Source organism: Homo sapiens, chromosome 14, assembly GCF_000001405.40.
Source record: "Homo sapiens chromosome 14, GRCh38.p14 Primary Assembly".
Classification (NCBI taxonomy): Eukaryota; Metazoa; Chordata; class Mammalia; order Primates; family Hominidae; genus Homo; species Homo sapiens.
This window is the reverse complement of record NC_000014.9, coordinates 81,172,641-81,190,601: the sequence shown is the minus strand read 5'-3', so window position 1 is coordinate 81,190,601 and position 17,961 is coordinate 81,172,641. Positions and strand designations below refer to the sequence as shown.

At 36.3% G+C, this 17,961-nt stretch overlaps 1 protein-coding gene across 3 annotated transcripts in view; it reads left to right on the top strand.

The window, feature by feature from the left end:
- Window positions 1–15,150, top strand: part of GTF2A1 (general transcription factor IIA subunit 1) — a 45,939-nt gene extending 30,789 nt beyond the window's left edge. For all 3 annotated transcript variants that reach the window (NM_201595.3, NM_015859.4, NM_001278940.2), the window contains 2 exons: window positions 4,982–5,071; window positions 10,272–15,150. In NM_201595.3, the coding sequence (NP_963889.1) occupies window positions 4,982–5,071; window positions 10,272–10,379 (198 nt within the window). In that variant the 3' untranslated portion in view covers window positions 10,380–15,150. The remainder of the gene's footprint in view (window positions 1–4,981; window positions 5,072–10,271) is intronic.
- Window positions 15,151–17,961: the final 2,811 nt, after the last annotated feature.

Below are 17,961 nucleotides of genomic sequence, written 5' to 3'. Positions count from 1 at the left end.
TGTAAGTGAATGTTGCATTTAATTAAACACCTTTTCTGCAATGATTTGTATAATTTCTCACGTAATGTTATTTATAATGGATTTCATTAATTGATTTTCTATTTGTAAACCAATCTTGTACTCCTGGGATAGCACAACTTGATCATTTTATATTTCTCTTTTTATAAATTGCTGAATTCATTTTGTTGAGGACTTTTTTGTAGATATTTATGATTGATAGATACTGTGTGATTTTCTGTTCTCATACTCTTCTTACAAGGTTTTCAGTTATGGTAGCTTTGTTAAATGAATTTGGGGACATGTTTCCTGTATTTTGAACTCTTTTTTTTTTTTCAAAGATTGTATTTAATTCTTCTGTTGATATTTGTTAAAACATGACACTACAGATACCTGGGTCTAGTAATCTCATGCCCTTCAAGTATTTTGTTTCTGTTTGAGACCGTTTTGATAAGTTATATTTTTCTAGGACTCTCTATATATTTATCTAAATTTTCAAGTTGATTAACATGAAGTTAATCATGATATTGTCTTTTTGATGCCAGAATCCTTTGTCATCTTCATTCCTAATATAATTATTGTGCCATCTTTTTTTTTCCCTGTTCAGTCTTACCAGGGATGTGTTGATTTTATTAATGTTTTCAAAGAGTAAACTTTTAGCTTTATTCTCTCTAGTGTGTTTTTCCCATTCTATTCTTTTCTGACTTAACTGTTTTGTTTGTAGAGAATATGATCTGTGTGATGTGTGAATCTTTTGAAATTGCTTGAGACTTGCTTGATTTGGTCAGTTTTTGTATATGCTTTGAAAAGAATGTGTTTTCTGCACTTGTTTGGTATTTGTATGTGTCTGTTAGATTTATATTGTCAGTAGGTTTGCTCAGATGCTCTTTATGTATCCTTGATATTTTTTGTGTGCTTGATCCATTTTTTTTTTGAGATGGAGTCTCGCTCTGTCACCCAAGCTGGAGTGCAGTGGCACTATCTCTGCTCACTGCATGCTCCATCCCCCGGGTTTACGCCATTCTCCTGCCTCAGCCTCCTGAGTAGCTGGGACTAGAGGTGCCCGCCACCTCGCCCGGCTAATTTTTTGTATTTTTAGTAGAGATGGGGTTTCGCTGTGTTAGCCAGGATGGTCTTGATCTCCTGACCTCGTGATCCGCCCACCTTGGCCTCCCAAAGTGCTGGGATTATAGGCATGAGCCACCGCGCCTGGCCACTTGATCCATTTTTTACTACTGAGTGAGATATGTTCATGTTTCCTGCTATGGTAGTTGATATATTTCTTCTTGTTTTTCTGCCATTTTTCCTTTTTGTATTTTGAGCCTCAAAACAGGTGCATGTAAGTTTAACATTCATTGTTTTTTCTCAGTGAGTTGAACCATTTATGATCATACAATGTCTTAAGTTATTGCTAGTAAATTTTTTTTAACCATGAAGTCTGTTTGTATGATACTGTTAGAGCTGTACCAGCTTTGTTGTGGTTAGAATTTGCCTGGTACAGCTTTTTTCATTCTTTCACTTTTCAAACATTTTGGATCTGTAAACTTAATCTTTTTAAAATAGAATATTGCTATTTATGCTATTTGTTGCAAAACTTTAACATCAACCAAGACTATTCAGTAGGGACAGAATAGTCTTCAACAAATTATGCTTGGACAATTAGATATCCGCATGCAAAAGAGTTAAGTTGGACCCCTACGGCATACCACATACAAAAATTAAAGTGGATTAGGGACCTACATCTAAGAGCTGAAATTATAAAACTCTTAGAAGAAAACATAGGGGTAAATCTCCATAGCTTTGGCAACAGTTTCTTTTTTTTTTTTTCGAGACAGAGTCTCACGCTATCGCCCAGGCTGGAGTGCAGTGGCGCGATGTCGGCTCACTGCAAGCTCAGCCTCCCGGGTTCACACCATTCTCCTGCCTCAGCCTCCCAAGTAGCTGGGACTACAGGTGCCCGCCACCATGCCCGGCTAATTTTTTGTATTTTTTTTTTTAGTAGAGACGGGGTTTCACTGTGTTAGCCAGGATAGTCTCGATCTCCTGACCTCGTGATCTGCCCACCTCGGCCTCGCAAAGTACTGGGATTACAGGCGTGAGCCATTGTGCCCAGCCGCTTGCAACAGTTTTCTTAGACATGACACCCAGAGTACAAGCAATCAAAGAAAAAGTGGACTTTGTAGATTAAAAAGGTGGTTTTTGTTTTTGTTTTTGTTTGAGACAGAATCTCACTCTGTTGCCCAGACTGGAGTGCAGTGGCATGATCGTGGCTCACTGCAGCCTCAGCATCTTGACCTCCCGGGCTGGAGTGATCTTTCTGCCTCAGCCTCCTGAGTAGCTGGGAGAAAATATTTGCAAATCATGTATTTGATAAGGATCTACTATCCAGAATATATAAAGAACTCTTAAACAGCGTAACAACAAAAAGATAATGCAATTTAAAAACTGGCAAAGAACTTGAATAGACATTTCTCCAAAGAAGATACACAAATAGCTAACAAGCATATGAAAAGATGCTCAGCATCATTAGTCATTAGAGAAATGCAAATGAAAACCACACTGAGATAACCACTTTACACCTTCTAGAATAGCTATACTCAAAAAAGAAAGAGAAAATAAATGCTGGTGAGGATTTGGAGAAATTGGAGCCCTTGTGCATTGTTGGTGGAAATGTAAAATGGTACAGCTGCTGTGGGAAACAGTTTGATAGTCCTCAAAAATTCAGTATAGAATTATCCATATGACCCAGCAGTTCCACTCTTAAATATATACACAAGAGAACTGAAAACATGTTTTTCAACAAAAACTTGTATGTGACTGTTCATAGCAGCCCTATTTATGATATCCAAGTGGTATAAACCCAAATGTTCATCAGCTGATAACAGTGGAATATTATTTAGCCATAAGAAGAATGAAGTATTCGTATATGCTACAACATGGATGAACCTTGAAAACATGCTATGTGAAAGACATCAGCCACACAACGCCACATATTATATGATTCCATTTATATGAAATATCCAGAATAGGCAAATCCATACAGACAGCAGATTATAGATTGCCAGGGGACAGGGAGAATGGGGAGTGACAGCTTAATAGGTAAGAGTGATGAAATGTTCTGGAACTAGGTAGTGGTGAGTGTTATATACACTGTAAATGTTCATTGCACCTGAATTGTACATGTACAAATGCTAAAATAGTGAATGTTGTTAACTTGAATTTTACCTCAGAGATTTTTTTTTTTTTTTTTGAGACGGAGTTTCACTCTGCTGCCCAGGCTGGAGTGCAGTGGTGCAATCTTGGCTTACTGCAGGCTCCGCCTTCTGGGTTCCCGCCATTCTCCTGCCTCAGCCTCCCGAGTAGCTGGGACTACAGGCACCTGCCACCATGCCCGGCTAATTTTTTTGTATTTTTAGTAGAGACGGGGTTTCACCGTGTTAGCCAGGATGGTCTCGATCTCCTGACCTCGTGATCTGCCTGCCTCAGCCTCCCAAAGTGCTGGAATTACAGGTGTGAGCCACCACGCCTGGTGTAGAAAATTTTTTTCATTTTACATTGATGATACCTATTTTAAATTAAAGAATATCTATACATACACACCTGTGTAAGTAGGTATAGGCCTAGACATAATAATTTTTTTTTTTTGTTCTTATTGTTGATATAGAGTCTCAGGTTGTTGTCCAGGCTGGAGTGCAATGGTGTGATCAAGGCTCATAGCTTCAACCACCTGGGTTCAAGTAATCCTCCCACCCTCATCCTCCTGAGTAGGTGGGACTATAGGCATATGCCACCATACCTCGCTAATTTTTTTTATTTTTTGTAGAGGTGGCATCTCACTGTATTTCCCTGGCTGGTCTCAAACTCCTGGCCTGAAGTGATTGTCCCGCCTAGGCCACCCAAAGTGCTAGAATTAACAGGCATGAGCCACTGTGCCTGTCCATAATATAGTCTTGATTATTGTCTTCTCTACTTTGGTTTTGTCTTCTCTTTCTGCATTTATTAGAAATCTCAGTTACATCTTCTATCTTCTGTCACAATTGAAGCGAAATTTAACATGGTTGTTTATTTTATGCTCTAGTTAGGTTTTATCTTGGCCCCTAACTCTCTTTAATGCTGAGATTTCCTACTTTCTGCCTTTAAGAAAAAAAAAAAGTCTGAATCTTAATTCTGCTTCATACCTCTACCATAACCATCATCATGCTAAACATGCTGATTTGTATTTAGAGTCCAAGTTCTTTAATGTAAAGACAGCAAGGCAGACTGCTAGCCTATTGCATTGCTCTTCTTTTCTCCTCTAATTTCTCCACTGTTTTCTGTTTTATATGATTTGTAGTACATAGTGCCATTAGCTCTTTTGAACCTTCATATTAGGTCCTTTTCTAGGCATCTTAAACAGTTATTGTAGAGAATTATCTTCTTGTACTGTTTTTAAAAAATAAAGAAAATAAAGATAGGCCGGGTGTGGTGGCTCACGCCTGTAATCCCAGCACTTTGGGAGGCCTAGGCGGGGTGGATCACGAGGTCAAGAGATCAAGACCATCTTGGCCAACATTGTGAAACACCGTCTGTACTAAAAACACAAAAATTAGCTGGGTGTGGTGGCGCGTGCCAGTAGTGCCAGCTACTGGGGAGGCTGAGGCAGGAGAATTGCTCGAAGCCGGGAGGCAGAGGTTGCAGTGAGCCGAGATTGCACCAGCCTGGCTACAGAGCGAGACTGTGTCTCAAAAAAAGAAAGAAGAAAATAAAGATAAACATCTTTTCAGACTTAAAAATTACATAGCTTAGCTAATTTAATTATATTTAATTTCTTACATTTCAGTAATATTGGCAAACTGTTAACAGCTGATTTGACAATATTAAATTCATGGCGTACATATATGCATTTGGCATTTGGTTCTCAAAGAACATCAAGGTCATTATATTTTTTTTTTCAGTGAATATTAAGGCCTTCTTATAGTAATAAGAACTCTCCTTTTATTTGTAGGAGCCCCTCAATAGTGAAGATGATGTGAGTGATGAGGAAGGACAGGAACTCTTTGACACAGAAAATGTTGTTGTATGCCAATATGATAAGGTAAGGATGTCATCTTCAGATTACTGACGTTATTTGTGTTGTAATTTCTTCCCTACATTATTCTTTCTGCCTTATTGAAACATTTGGGCAGCTGATTCATGCCTCTTAAATTCATTATGAATAGTACGAAAACCCTGTTAGAGTTTTGTGGATTATTTTAATAGAATGAAAGATTAATTTCTTAGCTTTATGTTTGAAAAATAAGTTATGAATGAAATGAAAAGAGCTACGATCTTCTTTTTCTATTTAGACAGTCTTTGAACTTGTAAGCAGAGTAAACAGCCACTTTGAGGTTGTCCTTTGTGGTAATAGCTAACTCAATGAGATAATTCTGTTTTCTATTTAGCCTCAACTATCTCAAAACTAGAAGGGTTCAATTGAATCTCTGTAACTGTTTTTATTATTAAGGAAAAGACTAAGGCAATGAACAGTGCTAAAAACAAACATAAGTTTTTACTGAAAATTATTTAAAATATTATTTAACTTTGCTGTAGTTTGCTAACATTAAGGAATTTTTAAACCAGATACTGTGAAAACTAGCCATTGATTCCTTATTTTCTTAATTCCTAGACAGGGTGCTTCTTTCCAAGTATTTTTGTTACATTTATTTGTATTATTTCTGAGATTTTTGTTTTCAAGACATTTAAATTGTAATACAGTTTTTTTATTGCAATCATTAAATTTATAATGCATGCAAATATTACGTTGCATTTATAATTTTAGTAGAGATCTTTACCAAATGCTAAAAATTCTAACAAAAGCTTATTTATTCAACATTTATAGAGTGCGGAAATTTACCAGACACTATTCTAGGCCCTGGCGATGTAGTTATGAACATGTAAAATTCATGCCTTGCATGAAGTTTCCTTTATAGATGAAGAAAATCTTAATTCTGTTGCTTTTATGGAAATGAATGTGATAAGTAGCCGTGCTTACTTCAAACAGATCTATAGGGAGAATGCCAACACTATGGATCTTATTTACTAATAAAAAGGTGGAGTTAGGCTAGTTTTACCAGTGAAGTTATAGAATGAAGACAGTAAGGTCATTGAGAGTTTCACAGCATTCATTTTTGTGCATAATGACTTCTGAGAGACTGTTCTTAAAACCATATACCATGTGCAGTATAATAAATGTAATTTCCTGTTAGATACACATAGAGCAAGACTATGAGGTTAAAACAAAAGATACCATTAAATCTTTATTGTTAGGAAGTCTCAGAGGATCTCCTTGCAACCAAATTATCCAGAACACAATTTCATGATGAGATGTCAGATTTATCAGGCAAGCGAGGACCTTTGTTTTAGCCTGACTGAAGAATATACTTTTAAGTGTCTTCCTACTTTAAGACAATGGTTGTATTCTCCTTTGGCACAAACTGTACTCATAATATTTTAAATGTTAAAATTGGTTTGTTTTGCTCCCAGAGACATTACTTTACTGTTTTAAATTAGTAAGTGGGAGATAGCTCTAAATGGTGTGCTGAATGATAAATAATTTTAAAATTTGCAGAGGTCTAATTTTGAGAATCAAATGAATTGCTCTGAAGATTGGAGGAGGGTGGTGGCTTGATGTCTTTAGCCAATAGTAAAGAACAGCAGTTTTCTTTGACTGCGCAAAATGAGGTTGGATATTGTTTGAGCCAACTTGAATTTCAGGAATGTAGTTTTGAAGCCTTAACTTTAGAATGTCAACAATGAGTCAATTTTAGAAGAGATCATAGAACGACTAATAAAGCTTGTATTGCCAATCAAATCAGAATCTTAGTTAAATGCTAATAATATGGTAGAGTTCTTGCTTACGTGTGGGTGGATAAGGGCTGATACAGCATTTAGCGAAAATAGCATCAGATGTAGGTAAACTTGCTTTAACACATTTTTAATTAGGAAATTTAAGAGGGCTTTCTCCTGGCTTTAAGAATATTCCTTCATGAAGGGCTTAGGGCCGGTAAATAGATTGCTTTTTAAGTTGTGACTTTGTACTTCTATTAATATAAAAATATTTACCATTTATTACCCAACATGACTTCAGTGTTGACTGTGTGGATTAGTTGGCCCATGAAACTTTGGTACATTTATTTTTTGCAAATTGTCCTGTCCTATGACAGAATGCAGGCAGTTTCTTTACTTGTCTATAGAATCTCTTATTTCCTGGCTACTCATCACTTTCTTGTTTTTGTCTAGCTAAGCCCACGGTCTTTCTGGTTGCAGTCACTTGGTTCATGCTGGAAATACATTTGTATACACGTTTGTAGAATAAATAATACTTTATAGGAATTCAAAGATAAGGGGAGACAGCTCTTTTCATGTGCAACAGATACTGTTTATGATGTCCCTTGGCACTATTCTTGGAGCTTGAGATACACTAATGATCAAAACAGAACAGTCCCTGCCATTGGGAAGCTTACTCCAATCAGGGGAGATAGATGCTAAAACATAATAAATTAGGATTTATTTACTTATTTAAAACATAATAAAATATTTATATGTTAGAAGCTGATAGTCGGTATGGAAAAATAAAGAGCAGGGAAAGAGGACAGGTTTGGTTTCAGTTTTAAATAGGATAGTCATAGTAGGTCTTTGGAGAAAATGACATTTTAGCAAAGACTTGGAAAGAGTTAGCCCTGTCATCTGGTGGCAGAGTCTGTTGTATGTGAGGAACAGCAAGGAGGCCTGTGTGGCTAGACTGGAGTGAGGGAAGAGGAGAGTACAGTAGTAGGTAGAGAGGTAAGGGAAGGCAGATAGTAAGGATTTTGTAAGGACATGGCTCTTACTCTTAAGTGAATCAGAAAGTTATTGGAAGGTTTCAGTGAGACAAATGGTATGAACTGATTTAAATTTTGAAAGGATTACTTTGCTTTCTTTGTAGAGAGCATAATATGAGGAGGAAGCAGAGGTTGCTGAAACGAGACTATTTAGGGGGATATTATAATAATTCACATGGGAGATAATGATGACTCGGCCTATGGTGATGGTATTAAAGTTGGTGAGAAGTAGTTGGATTTTGGATTTGTTTTGAAGGAAGAATGTTAACAGCATTTCCTGACTCTGAGATTTGTGGTAGAAAAGAAAAAGGAATCAAGAATGACTCTTGAGATTTTTTGATGAGGATTCTGAAAGAAGGATGGTGATACCATCAGTTCAGATGAGGAAAAGCTGCATGTGGAGCTGGTTGGACATGCCAAGTCTGGTATGTCCGTTAGACATTCAAGTCATCAATCTTAAGATGCTACATTTAGCATTTATGTAGTGTATTTAGACCAGAGATATAATTAGTTCTTAATCCAACAGTCTTTACCCTACCTGCTGTTTTACCTTTATTGTGCTTTGTTTTGCTTTAATAAGTAAGCAAAGTTTGAATCCAGAAGAAGAACATGAGAGTAGTTTCCAAATAAGATGAAGGTTGTTTGATTGAGTGATTTTTTTTTTTTAAGTCTCAAAAAGCAGAGCTAGGATCAATAAATGGAAGTTGGAGAAGCAGATTTCCGTAAGGGTAAACTCTGAAAGATTTTACAAGAGAGCTGTTCCAAAAAGGAATAACTTAATTTGAAATTCTTTGCTCACTGTTTCTAATCGTATTTAAGCAGACACTGCACAACCATTTGCCAGGAATATGTCATGAAGAATGTTTGCACTGGGAGGTTAGGCCATGGAATTTTAGGAATGAGATCTCAGAAAATATCTGTACCTGGCCGGGTGCAGTGGCTCACGCCTGTAATCCCAGCACTTTGGGAGGCCGAGGTGGGGGATCACCTGAGGTCAAGAGTTCAAGACCAGCCTGGCCAGCCTGGTGAAACCCATCTCTACAAAAATACAAAAATTAGCTGGGCGTGATGGTGAGTGCCTGTAATCCCAGCTACTCAGGAGGCTGAGGCAGGAGAATCACTTGAACCTGGGAGGGGGAGGTTGCAGTGAGCCAAGATCGTGCCATTGCACTCCAGCCTGGATAACAGAGTGAGACTCTGTCTCAAAGAAAAAAAAGAAAAAGAAAATATCTATACCTGTTGAGCATTTCTGCATTATTATATGAAACAGACTGATTTAGTAAAAGCGTACTGGACCAAGACTTGAAAATCATGATTGTCACTTAGTAGCAGTATACACTTGGTCAAACCATTGAACCCTATCCAATCTGTCATTTCTTCTTCTGAAAATGAAAGCCTGAACTAGTTGATTTTTTTTTTTTTTTAGGTACCTTTAGATCATAGAATAGGGAGAACCAGGGGGCCTTCTTTGCAGAAGATGTGGAACTTGAACATTAAATAATTAGTGTGACTTACTGGGAAAAGGAAGAAAGGTCACTTCAGTTCATTAAGTTTTACAACTCCTCTCCCCCACCAAATCCATGGAATTACAAACAACTACGGACTATAAGTGAAGGCAAAGATGGGAGTGCCCAGAGCCTGCCCTTCAGCTCTTTTTGTTTAACTGTGGATGTACATAGTTTTTGAAATCTGGTGTAAGTGACTGGATGATTAGCATCCTTTAGATGTATTTTTAAAATACTGCTATGTATAAGGTTCCATGGTAGTTAGGTCTTGAGAACTCTATAAGGAGTTTTATTTTGGTAGAAGAAATGAGTCCATAATTGTATTACTTACAAATAATGTAAGAAATGTCAATGAAAATACCATTGGGAATTTAACAGTGGAAAAGAATAGTTTTAGCTGGTAAGATTTGGGAAAGCTTTGTGGAGGATAGTCTTTTTGAGGTAGACCTTGAAAATATATATGCAAACCTGGTAGAGAGATAAGACATTTTGTAAAGAAATATTTTTTAACTACTTTAATGAACACAAGTACTAAAAGCTATAAAATAGTACTAATTACAGATAAATTTGTTTTTAGACCCACCTAGTGAGTTTTGTGTGTGGTTTTTTTGTTGTTGTTGTTCTTTTTGGTGAAATTAAACTTTATTAAGAAACCAATTTTTAGGCCAGGTGCTGTGACTCACGCTTGTAATCCCAACACTTTGGGAGGCTGAGATAGAAGGATCACGTGAGGCCAGGAGCTCGAGCCCAGCCTGCACAACATAGGAGACCCTTCTTCTACAAAAACAAACCAATTTGCAAATACAATACTGTAAATACTGTTTTGTGGGGGGGTGTGTGTGTACGTGTGTGTGTGTATGGGTTTTTTGTTACTTGTTTTCTCTGTTTTCTGATTGTATCTCTCAATTTTTAAAATGTTGTTTTTGTTTAGATACACAGAAGTAAAAACAAATGGAAATTTCATCTCAAGGATGGCATTATGAATCTTAATGGAAGAGATTATATATTTTCCAAAGCCATTGGAGATGCAGAATGGTGAAGAGTTGCTTTTTTTCTTTTATAAATAAAAGAAACTTAAAAAAAATGTAAAGCGGACAGTTTGAAACTTGGGGCATATGCCAACCAAAACTTCGTTTCTGCATGTCAGAAAAGTGCAGTAGAAGCAAAGCTACTGGAACAAAGATAGACCTTGACAACATAGACACTACTTACTGGCAAGCCATGGAACTGTAGCACCTAGGGTTTTTGGGTGGGAGGGTTGGGGTTTTGTGTAGGAAAACCATAATTGTTGATTTTAAATACAGGTACCTGCCACCGGTAATTAGCATGTAAAGCTTTGTCTATATTCCTTCCTCCAACTTGGGTTCAATCAGAAGATACTTGTTGGAATGAACTGAAGAAACTTCCCTTTTGATAGATTGAACTGAAACTGCTTATTGTATGTGGTTATATTTGGTAAAAGTTGCGTGTGAGCTTTTTACAAAAGGGTAAGAATTGTGTTGAATTTTAATTCACTTGTATAAGAAAACAATTTAAAACTCTCATAATAGGTCTTAAATATTTTTACTTGCTATTCTCCCTCAGTGATATATACCTCTTCCTTTCCAGCTTTATGAAACATCTATTTAAGATTTAAAGTTATCAGTGATCATAGTTTGGAGATAAAATTTGACCCAGGAATGAATATTTATTTTAATTAGGTTTTCATACTTATTAAATGTAATTAAAGACTTGGGTCTTGTCTGAGTTCAGTGGAATTGAAACCACAACTTTAATTTCCTTACAGAAAAACTTAATTTGTTTCTTTTAGTGCCACACCTTAAAAAGAAACCCCAAACTAGCTCCTCAGGAATATAGTTTTATTTTGCAAGCATACCATCTAGCTGAAATTGTATACACATGAATATATGTAGACTTTTCCTGTTGGGCTGAAGTGTGTGCTTATAAATGTGTTTAGTTTTTAAGCTAAACATTCAGTTAACAGTCTGTGCATTGATTAGCATAGGGCAGGTGGTGAGGACCTGGATTTTTATTAAACAGTTTAGTAATTATAAAAGTTTCTTGTGTTTACTAGTAAAGAATTTTAAAAATCTATTCTAATTCAACAAGTTTTTAAAATCAACTTTGTAATTTGAGGGGAAAATTTGGGGGGAAGAGGTGGGTGGGCCACTAAGTTACCTCTCTTTCATTTGGTGGCCCTTCCAGGCCATTGAAAATAAAGACGTTGGCTCCAGTTTGCACATTGGGAAGAAAGCATAGAAATTTGACTTGTATATTAAAAATAATAGAAATGTAATATGTATATTAAGAATGCATAGGTCTGTATTCTGTAAGGGGCTCTGAAGAACAATATGGCACTGCTGTGTTCAGTGTGAATTCACTGCCTGGGAGAACTGCAGGAATGCTTGTCTTCACCATTGTGTTCTTACAACGAATTCAACTTTCCATGGTTTATCTTGACAAAATTTACATGTGTTTAGGTTACTTGTATATTGATATATTTTTTTAATCTTCAGTTTTTGTCTTCCTTTTGCCTTTGTGTTTTCAGAAGTAACACATGAACACTTTTTAAAGTACATTACAGAGAAGAAAACTGTGAGCTATTATATAGTGTTTCTTTTTTAACACAAATCTTTTAACTTTAAAAAAAGGCAAAAATTTTTTTTTTCTACTTCCCACCCAGCTTACCACCTTGATCTCTTTAACTTATGTTCTAAACTTTGGTGTTAATGGTGGTGTCTAGCATGCTAGTAGTTAGATTTTATTTAGATGCCATAACTGGTAATACAGCTTTTATTTTGACTATATTAATTTAGTTTTTTGAGGGGAAGTTTGTTTATTCTGTGACTCTCAAAGCACACAGAGGTTTTAAAATATATATTATTAAGACTGAGAGAAGAGGAAATGGGAGGGAGTAACATCACAGAAGTGCTGTTGTTCAACTGTTCTTCAATATAGTTGCTAGTAGGTTTGTATTTACTCAGTAAGGAAGTCAGTGACCTGAACTACCTATAAAAATTCAGCAGTGCTGCAGTGTTGCTTAAGTGAAACCCTTTGGCTATCTAGTAGTTTTTATGCTACTGAAACTTGGATTACTGTATGATATTCAGCTTGTCTTGGGCCCTCTATGTAGACAAACATTCATATTCATAGTAGTGTTGTATACTGGCCTGTTTTTATAACTTTATTTTTCAAATATTAACAACCACTGCTTTCAGAGTGGTTATTTTGTTATTTTTGAAGCAGGAAATAACCATTTGTATTTGCACCTGCGTATTGCATATGAATTATGGTATACTTGGCAAATGCTTTTCTTTTACCTGTGAAAATTCTGAAAGCTGGTCCAAGCTACATTGCATACCAAATTGTGCTCTTATATATTATTTGCATCGTGTCCTTTTTAATCAAATAGCATGTTTTAGTTTTATTATAGTAGCTTTTGCTGTAAGAATGTCACTTGCTTATCTTTTATTGTACTTGAATTCTTAATCATGCTTTTAACATTGTATTTAACAAATCATTTCGTATTAGGTTCCATTAAAATGTCATTCCTTTGAAAAGGCAAGGGATTTCCACTTTCAGAATTTGAAAATGAAAGTAGCATGTTTATCTAAAGGCAGAAAATAGTTCGGACTTGGTATTATGAAAATAAGTAATGGTTTCTGGAGAGGATTTGTTTAGATTTGCACAGATGGCGATGGCACCTTTTACTTAAATTAACATTAATCAACAGTGCTAAGGAAAATTTACACAAAATTACAAGATAAAACATGGAAATGTGTGCCTTTCAGTATACAAACTCTTGCTTGGTGGCCATTTGGGTAATCAGACCATTTGAATGCCTGAGAGCATGTTTAATTTCTGTGGAGTGCCACATATGGCTAAAACAACTCTTTAATGTGCAATTAATTTCTAGAGTAAAATGTCTGTTATGTGAGGGGGATCTTTATGTTGGGCTTTTCTATTTTTTAAATGTTCACATTTCTTTCTGTTAATTAAAATGCCATCATAATGTCACATTTACACTGTTGCCTCTTTTAAAAGCAAAGCCACTTTCTTGTTCTAAGATTACATCAAGACTTGAGCAGTGTGTAGTAATTAAAATGTGTGCTTAATGAGCATAATAGATTCTGGTTTTAGGAAATAACATATAGCTTTTATATGAATATTTTCTTTTGCTATAATGAAAGTCACAGATTTTTTTTTTCCTGGCTTTTATGGAGGAATGAAAAGAGTTGTCTCCCTCTAAGAGTATACTATTTTTGATTCTCATAGCAATAATGTCACCATTCTTATCAGAGGGTAAATACCCCTTGTATAGGAAAACAGACATAATTTCCTCTTGGGAGTTCTCTTTATGACTTAGCATTTTCTTCTACTTGAGAAAATTCCTGTTTTTCCGATTATTTCATCTTGAACTTTCTTTTTTTTAAGCTTTTGTGCAATGTAATAGTTTGTTGATCCATCTTTGTACATTTTCATTTTATTTCATGTCTTTCTCTCACCTACCTGTCAGAATCAGCTATAGCAGATTTTGAATTCTTTAGTTAAAAAATAGTTGCTTTACTTGTTTCCTCATGAGTTTGTTAAATAGCTTTGCATTTTAGTCCTCTATTATGCTATGAAAATTATTACGAAGTTTATATTGTTCCCTTTTTAAGCCTGCCTTACTCTTGTCTTTTGTCATTGTCTATGGTTTAATGAAGAACACACCAAACTAACATTTTTGTTTATTTTGAGGAACAAAAAAACTTTTCTCTTTTAAGGGAAGTTACTACACATTGAGTTAGTAACTACTCTTTCAGTCAAGGTTCCTTAATCAGTCCAGTCTACATCAGGACTATGACTTGGGGGGCGGGGCTAATCCTTTTTGCTGTTCTGAGCTACTATTGTCAACTGCTGTTGTACATACTGTTATGTGTAATGGCGTAAATATATTTATTATGTTTGTAAAATTCATTGCAGATCAAGGTTGCTCTTCTGTGATATATGGGATATTATGTTTTAAAGACCATCTTGGAATACAATTAGAGAACTTAGTATTTTGATGTACTAAGACCTATTTTAAGTTTAATATTCTACTTTGCAAAAACTTTAATTAAAGATGTTATTTAAAAAAAAATGTTGCTTGCTTTGCTTACTAGTATATGGCATTGTTATAGATAATTGAATAAAATACAATTTAGAAAGGAAAATGCTTTACATTGTTAATGAGAATTCCATTTAACAACAACAAAAAGATGCTAAATTCTGTACCTTAAAGATAAGTAGATTGAGATGTCAATTTGAATTAGTAAACTGTGTTACAAATGATTAATACTAGCTTTTAAAAAGTTGTATTTTCCAGGCACACAGGAATTTAGGTTGGGCGAATTCACACTAACAAATTATAACTAAAAATTGGTATAATTAACATTGTTTTTCAAAATAAAGATTACTCCTTGTGAAATATTAATAATTAACATATTGTATTAAATAAGTATTTCTACTCCAAAGTATAGATTACTTAGGATAAAAACATTGTTATTTCTCTGTTTAGTCAAACCACTTCCTCTTAGTTCAGAGGTTATAAATAATTGCATATTAGGAGAATTGGATTACTGAGGTTTGTATTGCGTATTGAATATATTTTGTGTTATTTTAGAAGATAATAATTAGCAGGTATTTTAATTTTATAGTTAATTCAGCTGAATCATTAAGAAGCTCGCCTTTTTGTATTTTTTTATCCTGTTAACAGACTATCTAGAAAACATGCAAATTTTAACTATTAACATAATCATAATAAAGATATCTTATTTATTGCCAGCAAATCTTGTATTTTGCAGTTTAATTCAAGCCCCTACTTTGATTAAGCTTAAGCTTTTGGCTTTTGTTTCTCCAGCTGTAAAATGACAAGATTTTGAGGATGAAATGAGGTGTGATGCATGTAAAGCTCTTAGGCTGGTGCCTGGTACACAGTCAGCACTCAGATGTCACAATTATATGCTTAATTTCATACTTATTTGCATAGTTTAAAATTATTCTTGAACCGGAAAAAATTAATGGTCAAAAATAGCAAAAACAAATTGAGAACCAGTGAAAGAGTTCATTATAACCAAACAATCCTGGGAGGGTAAGTTGGTGAAACAATGCATCTGGCTACAGCAGAAAGTGTCAGAGGGAAGAAAATTGAGTGCTGGGTATGGGAGAGGGATAATCAAACAGTGGGAGGGCCTTTAAGCTCCCTCTCTCCCCCCGCCAAAAAAATCCTAAATTATATGTCTAAATAAGTTGAATTTTCTCAAAGCTAAAACTATGATAGAACTATCATTTTAAAAATGGACTTTTCCAAATATGAATGGAGTCTGTCCAGTTCATTTAAGGAGCAAAACAGAGTTGTCAAACATTGAAGATACGGATACATCACTCTGATTCTCACAATGTCTCCTCCACTTTGAAAAAGAGTACATTGACTTCTCTGTGTTGACAGGACCTCCATGCTAATGATGCATAGGTTAGGGTGGCATTGCTGAGTGGGGCAAATAGGGCCAGGAAAACTAAAGTTCACCCAGGTTAGTTGCAAGAGATGAAGAGAGTAAAGCTTTTTTTGTTTTTAGAGACAAGAGTCTCGCTCTGTTGCCCAGGCTGGAGTGCAGCGGCACCATCTCAGCTCACTGCAAGCTCCGCCTCCCGGGTTCACACCATTCTTCCGGCTCAGCCTCCCAAGTTAACTGGGACTACAGGTTCCCGCCACCACGCCTTCCTAATTTTGTTTTTGTATTTTTAGTAGAGACGGGGTTTCATCATGTTAGGATGGTCTCGATCTCCTGACCTCATGATCCACCCGCGTTGGCCTCCCAAAGTGCTAGGATTACAGGCTTGAGCCACTGCGCCCGGCTGAGAGTAAAGCTCTTTAGAGCTGTTCACTTTCAGCAGGGATGTACAAGGGACATTTGTTGTTTTGGCTTCTCAGTGTCAGAATACCCTTCCTATTTTGCTTCATGCCAAGAAGAATGGAGGGTAATATATACCTCTTTATGGAAGTAGAATAGCAAGTAAGAAGTCACCTGTCACTGGATCCAGAAACAGGGACCAAAATCTGAGGTGGTCAGACTGATGCTTACACTCAGGACTTTGAGTCTTAAGAGCATGAAACAAAGTTGCAGGATCAGTCAGAGGTCCTATATATGTTCAGGTCTGGTGGTGTGATATTGACTGGGGCAAGAGTGCTATTGGCAACCTCCTAAGCAGACTTTGGCTGCAAACTACTGTACCCTTCCAATCCCTTTTCTGCTTAAAATAAGTCTGTTTCTGTTGTTTGCAACCAAGAAAGAAAAGCATTATTCATGCAAAGTGTGTCTTAAGATATCACCTTTCCCTTGTAGGAGTCTTTTGCCTTCCCAATTAGCCCCTTCTTCCCATTAGACATTCAATATCCTATTCAAAAATCTTCAGTGAATTACCAAAATAGCAATACTTGTAATACCAGCATCACAATTGTGGTTGGCTGATTATCTTCGAACATAAAGGAGTTTGTTACATTTAAGCCCATTATATTTTGTGTCATTCATGTATTCCGCAAATACTTGAATACCTACTATGTGTACCATGACAACCCATATTCAAACTCCCTACAGTCTTGGTGAAGTGACTGATTGGTAGAATTGGCAGAGTCCCTTCAAGATTCTTCATCCCTTGCATAGCATCTCTCTCTGGGGGCCAATCGGCCTCAGTGGATGAGGCCACTGGAGGTCCATTTGTAGGAGTTGAAAGAGCACAGAGACTCCAAAGTCCTTGACATCTTCCTGAACTTGTTCTAGCACAAATCTGCTCTGATCAACTTTCCAAGACTTCCTCTCCTTCTTGGTGTGAAATGTATAAGGACCCTGTGCTCTATCTTGAGATGGCACTCAGCTTTTAAGTTCTATGTTATAAAGAGGGTGTGTGATATATATACTTAGTGTTATTTTCATGTTCTTAAAGCCTCCTTTTTGACATGCTCCATGTGTTCTGGAGCCTTTCCATAGAATTCGTCTCCCACAACCAAGAGTTCCTGTTCTCAGGGAGGGTATTAAAGGTAGAAGAAGGACACTGAAAGATTTTACAGACACAGCTTTTGTGGAGCAGAGAGAAGTGTTTGGAAATACTGGTTTTGAAGTATGCAGCAAGTATGAAGAAAACAGGGATGGGGACTCGGAACAAATACTTCTTGAGTGACAAATGCATTGCCTGTTTTTTCAAATACAGTAGTCTTGAGGGTGGTTATTTTTATCTTCATTTTACAGATGAGTTGATGGAGCTTTGTGGAGGCCAAGTAATTTGCCTAAGGCCACACAGCGAGACCATAGTTTGAAGCTAGGGCAGATTGGCAGAGTGAGGTCAAGATACTCCATCCCTAGCTTAGGATGGGATGGGTCTTTTCGTCACCTCAGTTTCCAGGAACAAATGTTTCCATCTTAGCTACACCTGTTAATAAGAGGCTGTGGCCTTGCAGCCAACCTGGTCTCTTGTTTCTGTTCAGAGGAGATATTCTGGGGACAGTTCTTCACTCTCCACTGTCTGTACTCACCACTCTGAAAAGACAGAGAGACAAATAAAAACACTGGCTGGGACCATGACAGCAAAGTCCTTCTGAAGAGTCA